The 12,953-nt window shown below is 45.0% G+C and overlaps 1 protein-coding gene across 53 annotated transcripts in view, besides 1 other annotated feature; it reads left to right on the top strand.

Annotated features, from left to right (window-relative positions):
• Nucleotides 1-12,953, top strand: part of KCNMA1 (potassium calcium-activated channel subfamily M alpha 1) — a 768,207-nt gene that overhangs the window by 86,426 nt on the left and 668,828 nt on the right. The gene's annotated exons all lie outside the window — the stretch shown is intronic.
• Nucleotides 5,022-5,522: an enhancer, noted in NCBI's record as "H3K4me1 hESC enhancer chr10:79305619-79306119 (GRCh37/hg19 assembly coordinates)". NCBI's record gives its function as "activates a minimal SCP1, AML or CMV promoter by ChIP-STARR-seq in naive H9 embryonic stem cells {active_cell/tissue: H9 hESC(naive)}" and the evidence as "EXISTENCE:reporter gene assay evidence [ECO:0000049][PMID:30033119]".

The raw sequence follows: 12,953 nt of genomic DNA, 5'->3' as shown, positions 1-12,953 counted from the left end.
TATCTTCCCACCATGGCTCAGGGGGTCTGTGCCTCTGTCTGTGACATATGATGAATTTTTAAAATTGGATACACAGAATTCTCTAGGGAGAGAGAAGAATGAAGGTAAATGAGCCCTTCCTCTGTCCTTCCCCTGTACATATAAGAGCATAATTTAAAGTCACCCACTTTAAGTACAATATTTACTTAAACTTGCATAGGTTTTTCCTGTCACTCCATGATACATGTTTTATTTAATATAAAAATAGTGGTAGCTGGGTGTGGTGGCGTGTTCCTGTAGTTCCAGCTACTCGGGAGGATGAGGTGGGAGGATCACTTGAGCCTAGGAGTTTGAGAGCAACCTGGGCAACATAGCAAGACCCTGTTTCTACAAAAAAATAAATAGGAATAGCGTTCTTCCCACATCTCTGAATCAGTTGAATACTCTATGAGTGTGTCCCCTGAGTGGGCTTTGTATGCCCCTGACTCCAAAATCTTGGTTGGAGTCTTACATCTGGGAGGTGAAGCTTGAGGGCTAGGGCCCATGTACTGCTTGGGTTGTGGGGGGAAATGTATAAAAATAGCCCCCCACCTGGACAACCTCAGAGTCTTATTTTCACACTGCTTCTAGCATCTGCCTTCATGGACCTAACAATTATGTCAACATCCTACCTTGAAAATGCTCCACTTCTGAAGATGTGCTTCGAGGGAGTACACACAATCCTTGCCACTCCCCCAAGCCTTGCTTCTGCCCAGACGCGGCCTGGTTCCCTGGGGAGAGGCATGCCTGAGTCTGCCGAGACGCCTGCTCCAGAATGTTTTCAGGGCCCGTTCCAGCTCTTAGGTTCTGTGGATCTACGTGAGATCACAAAGCTGAGACAGGCACACTGACAACTGGGTAGATGGCACAACAGTAAGTTAATCCAGGAGATAAAAGAGAAAGCGAGACAGGAAAGAATAGGGTGAAATCCCAGAGGGAGCGCCAGGGCCCCTGGGACTTCCAGTTGCTTCCAGCGGCAGAAAGAGGACAGCTCCAGCTGCTACAGCACCTCCCAGGACCAAACATGGGGAAGTCTACCCAGCAGGTGCTGGGAGAGAGGCAGCCCCAACCAGAGCCAATATCAGATGGGAGTTCCTAGGGGAAGATGATCCCACTGGGCTTGGGAGTAGGCTGGGATCCCTCTCTTCTCCAACCCTTCACTCTCCCATCCAGTGCGCTCCTGTCTCTTCCTTCTCTTCTTTTCTCCTTTGCTCTGACTTGGTCCTGGTGGTGAAGGACCAGATGTGAGCATCACTGCCTGGCTTGGGAGAATCTCTTGGGTGGCTGGGCTGGGGGTGCGTGCACAATGCTGAATCTTACTCCATTTGTTTTCAACTTATTCTTGCTCCCTTCTTAGCATCCTGCTCTTCTAAAAAGGAAACTGTGATTTCCCTGAATAAACTAGTGCTTTCATTGTCCAGCATTGGCAAGGAGGAAAATGCTCTGAGAGGGCAAAAAGTAGTTGGATGACCCTGACTCTCTCCAGCTTCACCTTCCTTTGGGAGAATTTCTCACGTATTTAGTACGAACACCTACATACTAGTTTTAAGGTGGTGCCATTTTCCTCTAACTGTGGTGGGCCAAGCTTGGGTGCATGACTTTCTAACCTTTCGCTAATTGTCTATGTTGCGTTGAGAGTCTGGTGGGATGTTTAGACAGGACGTTACTGAAAATGTGGAGACAGAAAAAAGGAAATGAATGGAGGCTGACAGAGCTAGATAACTGCCCTGTAGGGCATAGCTCATCTTAGCTCACAGACCCTGCCAGAGTCCTCATTTTTTTGGCCTTCTTCATGGGCTGGGTTCGCTCTTCTCACTGCAGCCCACAACTGGTTATCCACCCTTCTAAAAATCCCCTGCTAGGAGAGTTCAGCCCAAAGAGGCAGATAGGAGGATCACCTCTTCCAAGGAGTTTAAGGCCTCTCTTCTGGGTGCTACTTTCCTGTTAGATGCTTTCCTTTTCTGTGATGATTGAACTAGGGAAGGAGAACTTCCCTTCCCCATCTAGGGAGAGAGACTTCCTCTCCATCTGAAGGGTCCTGGCCTTACTCCTCAAGATAATGGAGAAGAATTTAATATAGTAAATTCAACATCTCCAGCCAGTATGGGAGATATCATAAGGGACAGGACACATATTTCCTTTTTAGCTCCAGTGCTCCAGGCCTCAGCTTCCTTGTTTGTGGAGTATGCATATTTAGAGTTCCTACTTCAGTGTTGAGGACTCTCTGTGATGGTGAGGTTAATACATACAAGGCATTTAGAATAGTTCCCAATGAATGACTTTTATCAGTGATGTGTTCCCAGCAGGTCTGCTCAGTGTGTGAGTCTAGTCCATGAATGGCCCAGAGTGGGAAGATAGCATCACCATCCACGACTCAAGTGAAGCACATCATGATTTTTCAAAGTATTCATCTATGCATCCCTTATTAGTTTCCATACCAACCCCAGAGTGTAAGCTCCACAAGGCAGGGAATTTGTCCATCTTGATTGCCACTATATCCCAAGTGCTTAGCATAATGTCTGACTCATAGTAGATGCCCAATAATTACTTGTTGCATGACTGAGCTCTGTGAGTTAGATGGAGTGGGTAGTATTAATCCATTTGACAGAAGAAGAAAGTGAGTCCCAGAGACATGATATGACTCTTCTAAGGTTGCATCAGGAGTTAGCCACAGAGCTGGGGCAAGACCCTGAGTCTCCTCAGTCCTGATGCAGTGCTCCATCCCCAGTGTGCTGTTAGATCTATCAAGAGTTGTGCCTGCTGGTAGGTTGGAAGCAGGGAATAAACCCTGAGCTGCCACCAGGTCAGCTTCATGGATTCCATTGACCCTGCTTCTCTGGGCCTCTGTGCACACCTACATGTGTACATGCTGGGAGTCAGAGGCTGTAGAGACTGTAGACTAGTGGCATCTGCTACATGAAATCCTGCCAAGGGACAGCTTTGGAGAAGCCTTCTGTCTGCCCCTGAGCTAAGTGGGGGTGGAACATCTGACCACATGCCCTCTTGCACCAGGCGTTGTCCACGTTAGGCTTCCAAGTGTTGGGCGTGGTTGCAGGGTAAGGCTGCATGATTGCACCAGGCATGTTGGTTTGGCCTCCCTGAGGTGGTGCACAGATTGCCTTTCTGTAAATAGGATGTCTGTCACCTGAGGCATTTGTACCAGGCACCTCATTCCTTTTTTGGCTTCCTGTGGATTTGGAAGGAAACTCAGGGGCCATTTTTTTTCATCCTTTTCCCTCCATATAAGACTATACCAAATATATTCCAGAGATATTATTTGCTCTTAAAAAGGCTCAAGAAATAGGCCTAACTACATCTGAAAGTTTTTCTAAATCAAGGGTTGGCAATTTTTTTTTTTTAATTTGTAAAAGGCCAGATAATAGAGATTTTAGGCTTTTCTGGGCCATGCTGTTGCAGCCACTCAACTATGCCTTTGTAGCATGAAATCAGCCACAGACACCCCAGAACAGATGAGCATGGCTGTGTGCCAATAAAACTTTATTTATAAAAATAGGCATCGGGCTGGATTGGGCCCTTAGGCTGTTGGTTTGCTGACTCCTGTTGTAAATGGTTATCTTTGGGTCAGCCCATCTTTGGTCTTGCTAGTCTTGGGTGCTGCTTGAGTCAGATAATCCAAGAGAAATAAAATTCCATGTTGACTCCTCTCCTTAGCCTCTGCTTCAAAACCTTTTTAAGAGAATATTTACTCAAGAAAGAGCTTGGAAGGTCCTGGAAACATGTGCCTTTCATGCAGATGCCTTACTGCATGGAGAAAAGCAGGCTTTCACCCCAAATTTCTGTTGATCTGGAGAAGCCACACAGAGGTGGGCCCGGTTGGGCAGCCTGTCTTGGGTGAGTTTGGGTTACTGTAAAAGCTCAGACACTTGGGTTCTTGGCTCTGTATGCCCTCCCTCCCTGTCTTCCTAAAGCCAAGAAAAATGAAAGGCGAGGGCTGTCTGAACTAGGGTGTGATATTTAAGTCTTAGTGGGTAGGTTGAAATATAACGGAGCCGTTCTGTTCATTGAGCCAAGCCTGTGGACTCCTTAATAATCCATGGTCGGGATTGCAGCCCTGTGGGGAGGCAGTGGGAGCCTTCAGCAGCTTGAAAGTAGATGTCTGGATTCCAGGAGGTACAAGCTTCCAAGAAGGAAATTTTCGTAGCTCATCTTTGCACAGGAAGGTTTTAATGGAAATTTGAACACTCCTAGTAAACACCCTTGCTATTAGCATCTTTCATTTTGACAGAGGAGTTTTCTTCCTCTGTTCTGATGGGTTATCCAGGCTGGGCTGGGTTCCTGTGTGGAGTTATGGGCTCTCTTTAGGGAAACATTTGGTGTGGTAGAAAGATCTTGGTTTCTGGAATGAGATTTGTGTCTTGACCATGTGCCATTAATTGTAGGTAAGATCCTCAGGCAAAGTCTTTGACTTCTCTGAGCTTTGGGTCTCACTGTTGCTGGGTGATGGAATGAGAGTGGGTTTACAAAGCACCAAGCACAGAGCCCGACACATAGTAGGTAGCCTAGAAGGGAAAACAGAACTCCAGTTGCTAATGCCCAGGTCTGCCCCGCCATCTTTGGGGCTGGGTTATCTGTGTGCTCCCCTGACAGGGAGCCACCCAGGATTCACTTTCAAAGATGGGAAAGGAGGCCTGAAGGGGACATGCTACCACGGAGTGAGCAGGCATTCCTAAGAGTCGGTCTGTCCTTTCCTCTCCCACTGGAGATACTCAGCCAGTGTGGGGGCCATGCAGCACCGGGGAAGGGACACATGTCTGGGAATATTGGGGATAACCTTGTGTGAAATTTTTCAGAACAGGCCGGCAGTGGCCTGGGACATGGATAGCTCAGGCTGCCTGCTTTGCTCCTGTGCTTGTCCTCGTGACTTAGATTCTTCAAGATGGAGGGGCTCCCTGGCTGGTCCCCTACACAAGGCCCCTATATCTGTGCTGGGTGGTGGTTCTGATCCCTTTTTCCCTGTGGGGGTGGATCAGAGCTTCCTGTGGCTTCTCGGTGGGGCTGGAGGGCCCTAGCACACTGTGAACTAGTGGGAGGCAGTGAGCTGGGAATTCAGTGGAGGAGGGAGAGGGAATAGGAGGAGGATGAGGAGGAAGAGGAGGAGGCAGTTGAGACAGTTCTCTCACTTATGCAGAAAGTGTGTGATGAAAGTGTGTGATCACAGCCAGCCCCACACAGACTTTCCTCCAAATGAGAAGGGAGTGAGAAAATGTAATTTTAGTGTCTGGCTTTTGACTGACTCCCTGTGGAGGTTCCTTCTGGGCTGTGGTGTTGGGTGTCTCTCCTTCCCTCCAAGGGACAGCCAGGCCTGGGCCTGGAATAAGTGAGTTCAGATGGTAACTGGGGAATGGCCATAGGGAGGGAGTGAAGAGCCGTGCCTGTGCCCCAGGGGGCTGGGGGGCTTGGATTTCAGGACATCAGGGAGGTGACATCAAGGACACTGCAGGGGGGATTTAGGGACAGGGTAGTGGGGTCAGTGCCTGACTCAGTCCGAGCTGAGCTATATTGGGTCTCTGTTCCTACGCTGAGGCATGCTTTCCCAGGCGTGAGGCCATGTTTTCCAGGCCACAGTCCACAGCCTCGCTGCCAACACAGGTGTGCATTTTGGTGGAGGCTTGCTACCCTCTGTGTGAAACCAAGGGAGCAGAATATTTCCCTGAAATCGGGGCTCCTGGAACATGACCCTGCCAGGAAGCTCAAAGTCCTGGGAGAATATGTTCCAGGCAGGGCCCGGGGGGCACCTCCATGCCCCACTGCCTTGTGGCTCCTGGCACAGGAGATGCTGGACAGTATATACTCTGCTGGCTGGACAGGCTCTCATGTCTGCATGTGAAAATCAGGTTCTGGGGAGTTTATAAACCAAAGAAAACCCCTCCACCCAGCCCACAGAGTGCCAGCGATTCCCTCAGTGATTCGTGTGTGGAGGATTCACACTTGGTGGAAAATCTACTTAACATTTTTATCCTATTTTCCCTCCACTCACTGTCAGTCCTCATGTGTTAGGGGAGTGGAAACTCATTTAAATATGAGTCTATGAAAAAATTTAATTAGGAAGATAAATTGAAAAATGCATATAATACATTTCCGTGTCAGACATAAATTACTTTATCCACACCACTGCACCCCTCCAGTTAACCCAGGGAGTTGGGAGTTGTCTGTGGGATGAAACCCTCTTAGGAGATTTTCCGGAGGAACCCAACTATTAGGAACTCCTTCAAAGCAGAACTTAAATGATAGCATATAGTTAAGTACATATTAGAAACTTCATGATTCCATTTAAACTAATCATTCAGTGACTTCATCGTGGGTCAGAAAAAATATGCTCTCTTCTCGGTACATTTTGCACCTGCAGAAGGATCACTTGGGGAGGAAGAAGATGGGGTAGATGAGGGTCACATGATTTTTGTCTTCCTATGTTGGAAGACAATGCTTATGGAAGGGGATTAGACTTTTTGCTGTGTCCCCAGGGAGCAGAGTCAGTGCCATTGGTTAGAAGTTATAGAAAAGTGGATTTGGGGTCAATATGATGCAATACTTTCTAGCAAAGAATTTTGGTTAAAAACACAGGCTTTGTATTCAACCACAATGAAAAGCTGAAGCCCAGCTCTGCAAACTACTAGCTGGGGGACCTCAGGAAAATTTACTTCTCTGGGCTTCAGTCTCTTCAACAGGAAGACGGGCAAAACTATAGTGAAACCTCATACCTTCATAGAGTTGCTCTGAAGATTTAAAGAATACGCTTAGCTCACAGTTAGGGAAATTCAGTGAAAGGTGGATATTATTACTAGAAGATAGGGTAGCAGTAGAAAGAAAATTTGTGGTCCTGTAAAATTGAAGTTGCCCTGCAGTGGGATGGGGCATATGAGGATAGTGAGTGCTTCATCATCACTGGAGATTTTGACAGCAGCTTGGTGTGTGGCTTCTTCTCAGGAGTGATTTTTGGAGATTCAGGAATCAGATTCCTGGGCTAGATGCCGTGCTCTTCAAGTTTAGCTGTGACCCTCTCAACCACTTGGGAATTTTTTCCTTTAAACAATTATAACAATTGTTTTTGAAAATATCAAAGTTCAGAGAAGAAATTTAAAAATTACTCAAAAATCTCACTTCCTAGACATAACCATCATGAACATTAAGAAAACTCACGTAATCTCTCTATCATCACACACACACACACACACACACACACACACACACACACAGCTGGAAAGATATGTAGATCACAGATTGACAGGAATAATTTTAGAATAATGGGATCACACTCTACATCCCAATTTTAACAAAGAGTATTAACGTACATGGCTTAAATTTCTAAGAGGAAACAAGTACATCTAAAGGAAGTTCTGAGTTCTGGAAAAATATGTCTTCATTGAAATGGATATCTTTTAGAAGAGCTCATCAAGGTTATGAAAAATTTTAAGAAGATGGAGTCATTGCTTTCTGTTAATACCTAGTTTCAATTTTAGACTTTTGAGCCCATGTTATAAATGATGAAAAAATTAGCAATCACCTGCTTCTTCCTACCTCCTACCCCCTTTCTTATTTTAATTATAGCTTATTTTTACATTGTTAAGGCTGATAATATCTAACAAGTCCCTGAGTTGTTTAGTCTCAAGCATGTCCCCTACGTAGGAATTCAATTTCCAGTTGTATTCTTTCTGTTCTAGTTTACTCGACAATCTAAAATGGGATTATTTTGGTCTTTGATTTGTTTTCTTTGACCTGCTAACTTTTCTGAATTCATTGAATATATGTTTTTGTTAATTTCTTCTATAGCATTAAACATTTGCAGGAATTTTCTTTGTTTCTTTGGTTATGTTTTCTTCTAGAGAGGTTCTTCATCATCATAATAGCACAATATGCTATTATGTTCCTTATTTTCCTCCTGTAGTGTGTGTTCACAAGTGCCATATTTTTTTTATCTTGCATATGTTTAACTTGGGTAGCTCTGTCCACTTCTTCTAATCACTCTGATATTGAGGGCAAATTCTTTAGGACTCCTTTTGTGACTTACCTGAAACCTCTGCCATGGTGTCAGCTCCAGTTTGAGATGCTTTCTGATGCCTGGGAGCATTATAGGGGAACATGGGAGATGAGGGTGGTCAGACTCAGAGCTGTGTGCTCCTTTGGGTAGGACCACATTTAACTCTTGCATGACTTTGTTAAATGTGCTGTTCCAGGGCTCATTCCACTAATGAGGGGATATAGGAGGGGATGTCCTTGCCATTTAGATGATCCCCTCAATTAAGCGTTGAGCCCTGGAACCTGTGTTTCTGTGAGAGAAAGAGAGAGAGAATGAGAGAGAGAGAAAGAGAGAGAGAATGAGAGAGAGAGAAAGAGAGAGAGTCTTGATTGTTCATGCTGCTGTTTTATAGCTCTTTTTCTAATAGTTCTCAATCTGTTTCCCCAACTCTCTCCGTATTAAGTCAGAAAAGAGGAAGAAATGATGTCACACTCACAGTCTGCTTCTCTGCAAATATATAGTAATTAGTGAGAAGTCTAAAGATTTTGGCCTCAGCAATAATACTTCTGAAGCATGGGGTGGGGTTAGGAACCTGACAACTTCTGCCAAATCCTGTTCCTGCCCCCACCCTCACCCCAGGTCTTTTAGATGTTGATAGTATGAGTGTGTGCCAGTTCCTTGTTTGATTGCTGCTTGCTTTTCTCCTTCACTTATTGGTTTTTGTTTTTTTGTTTTGCTTTGTCTGATTATGTATTGGGACACTCTGCCATCTTTCTCCAAAAGCCTCCCTGCGTATCTTTTAAAAAAATACAATTTCCTAGGCTCAACACAGAGCTATAGAATTAGATTCCCTTAGGGGAGGGCCACAGAAATTTATATTTTTATAAAACTTCCAAGGCGTTCTAACAATCAGCCAAGTCTGGGATCCATTTTAAGTTTCCCCTAAGATTCTTTCCAGTGCTGAGATTCTGTGGTTCATTGTGTTCTCTTTAAGAAACAGGGAGGGGGTGTTAGCACAGGGATTCTGTCATATTCTCAGGCATGGCATCCTCTCACTATGCAGAAGAAGGGCTTATGTCTCTCTTTATGCCAATTCTTCCTTTTGTCTTGGTCCATTTGGGTTGATATAATAAAAATGCCTTGCACTGGGTGATTTGCAAACAGTAGAAATTTATTTCTCACAATTCTGGAGGATGGGAAGTCCAAGATCAAGGTGCTTGTGGTTTTTGGTAAGAGCCCACTTCCTGCTTCATACATGGAGCCTTCTGTGTCCTCACATGATGGAAGGGACCAGGCAGCTCTCTGGGACCTCTTTTATAGAGCAGTAATCCCACTTATAAGGGTTAAAATTGCTACATATAAATTTTTGGGGAGGGACACAAATATTCAAACCATTGCAAAGGGATAAGGTTGGAGGATCTTCTCATTTCTCTTTGTCACAATGACCTAAAGATACCCTCCATGTTTTAGCAAACTTGCCCTTGAGTTAGTGAATGGATAAGTTGTTCTCAACTCTGGCTGCACATTAAAATCACTTTGGAAGCTTTTAAAATATTGATGCCTGGGCCTCACCCCTAGGCATGTGGAGTTAATTGGTCTAGGGTAGGGCCAAATCACTGGCCTTTTCTTTGAGTTCCCTAGGTGTTCTATCTAGCGTGCTTCCAAGACTGAGAACCAGTAGATTGTTCTTTCTTATTTTTTTAGTGACTCATGATCCATTCTCCATTTTCCTTACTCCTATCTCAAGCCTTGATTTTGGAACATGTACTTTCTACACACTGAATAGTTTCTAAGGTAATGTTACTTAGAACAATAGAGTCACGTAGTTTCAAGAATGGGCTTTGGAGTAATAGAAATCCAAGTGTGGGTCCTTTTTCTGCCCCTGCTGCTTGTGTGAGCTTGAACAAGTAACCTAACTTCTCTATTTCACAGTCTCATGCAAAATAGGGATTTTAATTCTACCTTGCATTGTTTTGAGGAACAAAATTAGTTTCATATCATATTAATTACATGTTACACTAGTTTTCTTGTGGGTAGAGTTTTTCTGACATATTATTTTTTGTCTTTTTATTGTCAATCTTTTAATAAGGCTTTTCTATATGTTTCTTACAATCATCAAATAATTGAATTTTGTTTAATGTTTTCATCTGGTTTGATAATCTCTGTCTTTTAATAGGTACGTTTAATTCGTTTATACTTAATATACTCACTGATACAATATGTGAGTTTTTTCTGCTGTTTTATTTTGGGTTTCTTTGCTCCTCTTTCCCCCTTTCCTGTCTTATATTAAAGGAATTGTTCCATATTTCTTCTTTTTTTAAATTTTGTTGGTTCATAAGCTGTAGATCATATTCTGTTCTCCTAGTGATTACTCTTTTTTTTTTTGAGAGGAAGTCTTGCTCTATTGCCCAAGCTGGAGTGCAGTGGTGCGATCTTGGCTCACTGCGATCTCTGCCTCCTGGGTTCAAGCGATTCTCCTGCCTCAGCCTCCTGAGTAGTTGGGATTACAGGCGTGCACCACCACACTCAGCTATTTTTTTTGTGTATTTTTAGTAGAGTTGGGGTTTCGCCCTGTTGACCAGGCTGGTCTCCAACTCCTGACCTCAGGGGATCAGCCCACCTCGGCCTCCCGAAGTGCTGGGATTACAGGCATGAGCCACCATGCCCAGCCTTCTCCTAGTGATTACTCTTAAATTTTTGAGATACATTTTCATAATTCTGGGAACATTGAAAGTGATAACAGTATTTTTACTCAAATAATGTATTCAAAATATTCAGCACAATGCCTGACAGTCATTAAAATGCATAATAAATTCCAATTGCTAGTGCTAGTCTTACTACTGCCAGCACTACAATTAATATTACCATTTTTACCCAAAGAGCCACTAAGTATTATTTTTATCCATAAGTATGGTATCAAGAAGATGAACATTGTGAAAGTTATATGAACAAATTATAGTCTGAACAGTGCCAGTTTTTCCCAAAGGAGTTTGCTCATTTGTAAAATGTTATACTGATTATTCAATGAGGTAAGTTCTGCAGAGTGCTTAGCCCACAGTAGGTGCTCAATCACTGTTAGCCTTTATATGGATACCAACCTGGACTTCCCTTTTAAAACACCCCAGCTTTGCCTTATTGCTCTGCAAGCCAGTTCTAGGCATGTGTCTCTTTGGCTGTGACCCTGGATCCAAAGCTTTTGGGGACTGAGTGTGGATGTGACTGCTCTGCTCCACCTGGCTGGGACATAGCAGGACAGGCAGCAACCCAGGTCTGTGAAATCAATCATGATGATTCTGGGAGGAATTATTGGTGAATTAGGGGGATGCTCCAAGGGATGGTCCAGATGGAGGTAGGTGTAAAGTGGAGTTTTGCTGGAAGGAGTTGTTTTTGCACAACATATTGATTTCCTTGGGGTGGGAGAAAAAAGAAACAGCAGCTCTTCGCTGCTCTCCCAGAGTGGTGGGTAGGAGAGGACAGGTGGGAGTCTGTGGGCCCCTTTAGCTGGTTATTTTTTTAGATGTACCATCAGGTAGCTGCAACTGTATTCCCACTGCTTCCCCAGCAATGCAAAGGGCAGATTACGAAGCAGAGCTGGGCTGGCAGCAAGTTTTGCTTTGCTTTCTCCCAGCGGCCAACAGCATTTGCATTGGTGGGTGGTGCACACACTCTGCAGAGAGAGGGCGATACCCAAGCCCAGGGCCCACAGACTGAGCACAGAACAGAAAATTAGGGCTGGGAATTCACCCGTGGCTCCTCAGTGTCTGTGTTGCCCATCTCTGATAGACTTCCAAAATAGCAGGGGCCAGGAATTTGGTGGGGACACCTGGGGATGAGGGGCCCTGCCAGAGCTGGGTTCATTCTTGAGGGAATGTCTCCCAAATCTGCCATTTAAGAGGATAGAGTTTCGGTCCCCAAGCTCAATTCTGCCTCACCTCCATGCTCCATTATCTGGGTATCCCCAGGCCACTCACTTATCCCACCCATGTCTATTCTCTTACCTGTAAAACTAGAATTGCAGGTATTTTAGTGGATACGTTGTTGGGAGATGACTCATAGGTTTTGATCCCATCTCCATCTCTGCATTATCTTGGACAAGCAACCTGACTTAGGTGCTTGCTTGTCTTTAAAATGCAGAACGTTAGTACCTATCATGCTAGCTCATTGGGAAGTTGGGAATGGCAAATAAGAGAATGGCCTTGCAGGCTCTTGAGGGAACAGAAAAGAGAAAAGTGGGTTCCTCAGAGACATATGCTCTTACCTAGGGTGGGGGAGCTGGTTTATGAATGGTGTAAGTCTCAGAGTCTCCAGCTTCTTCCCTAGGGTCCTCCCGGACCAACCAGCCTGTATTGGAGTGTGTTCAGCCTCTTGGGTAGATGTAGGACCGTGGGTGGTGACATGAAGGAGACAGGTTACTGCTCAGCAGGAGGGGGGACCTATGTACGGAGCCTCCTAGCCTCAGAGGCAGCTGTTACTATGCAGAGCCTTCATGCTGAGCCCTGTGCTAACCACTCCACACACACTGTCCCCTGAATCAGTCTTGACAACCAGCCCTTCACAGGCAGGGAGCAATGGGATTAGATGCCTTTTGTGGCACGAGAACAGGTTCATAGAGGCCCTCTGTTGGGTCAGATTTTAACTCCATATCCTTAGGTTTTAAGGAGATCCATGGAGTCTGTGGCAGAGGGACCAAGGTGGGGGAGGGGGTGCCATTGATGGATCATAGATGGGACTCACCATCTAGCTGGGCTGTTGAGGACTCCATATTAGCCTGGGAGTTTAGTACTGGCATTCTCCAAGACACACGTGAAGAAATTGAGGTTCAGAGAGGTGACCTTGCCAAGGCCACACAGCTAGTAAGCTGTGGAGCTGGGATTCTAACTCAGATCTGGTTGACTCAGAAGTCCAGCTGGGGGTAATGATGGCAATGAAAGCTCTAGAGTTGGAAGAGACCCAGACAAAG

This window comes from Homo sapiens, chromosome 10 (assembly GCF_000001405.40).
Source record: "Homo sapiens chromosome 10, GRCh38.p14 Primary Assembly".
In the NCBI taxonomy this organism is placed as follows: domain Eukaryota; kingdom Metazoa; phylum Chordata; class Mammalia; order Primates; family Hominidae; genus Homo; species Homo sapiens.
The sequence above is the reverse complement of the archived record's forward strand: the minus strand, read 5'-3'. Positions and strand labels throughout refer to the sequence as shown.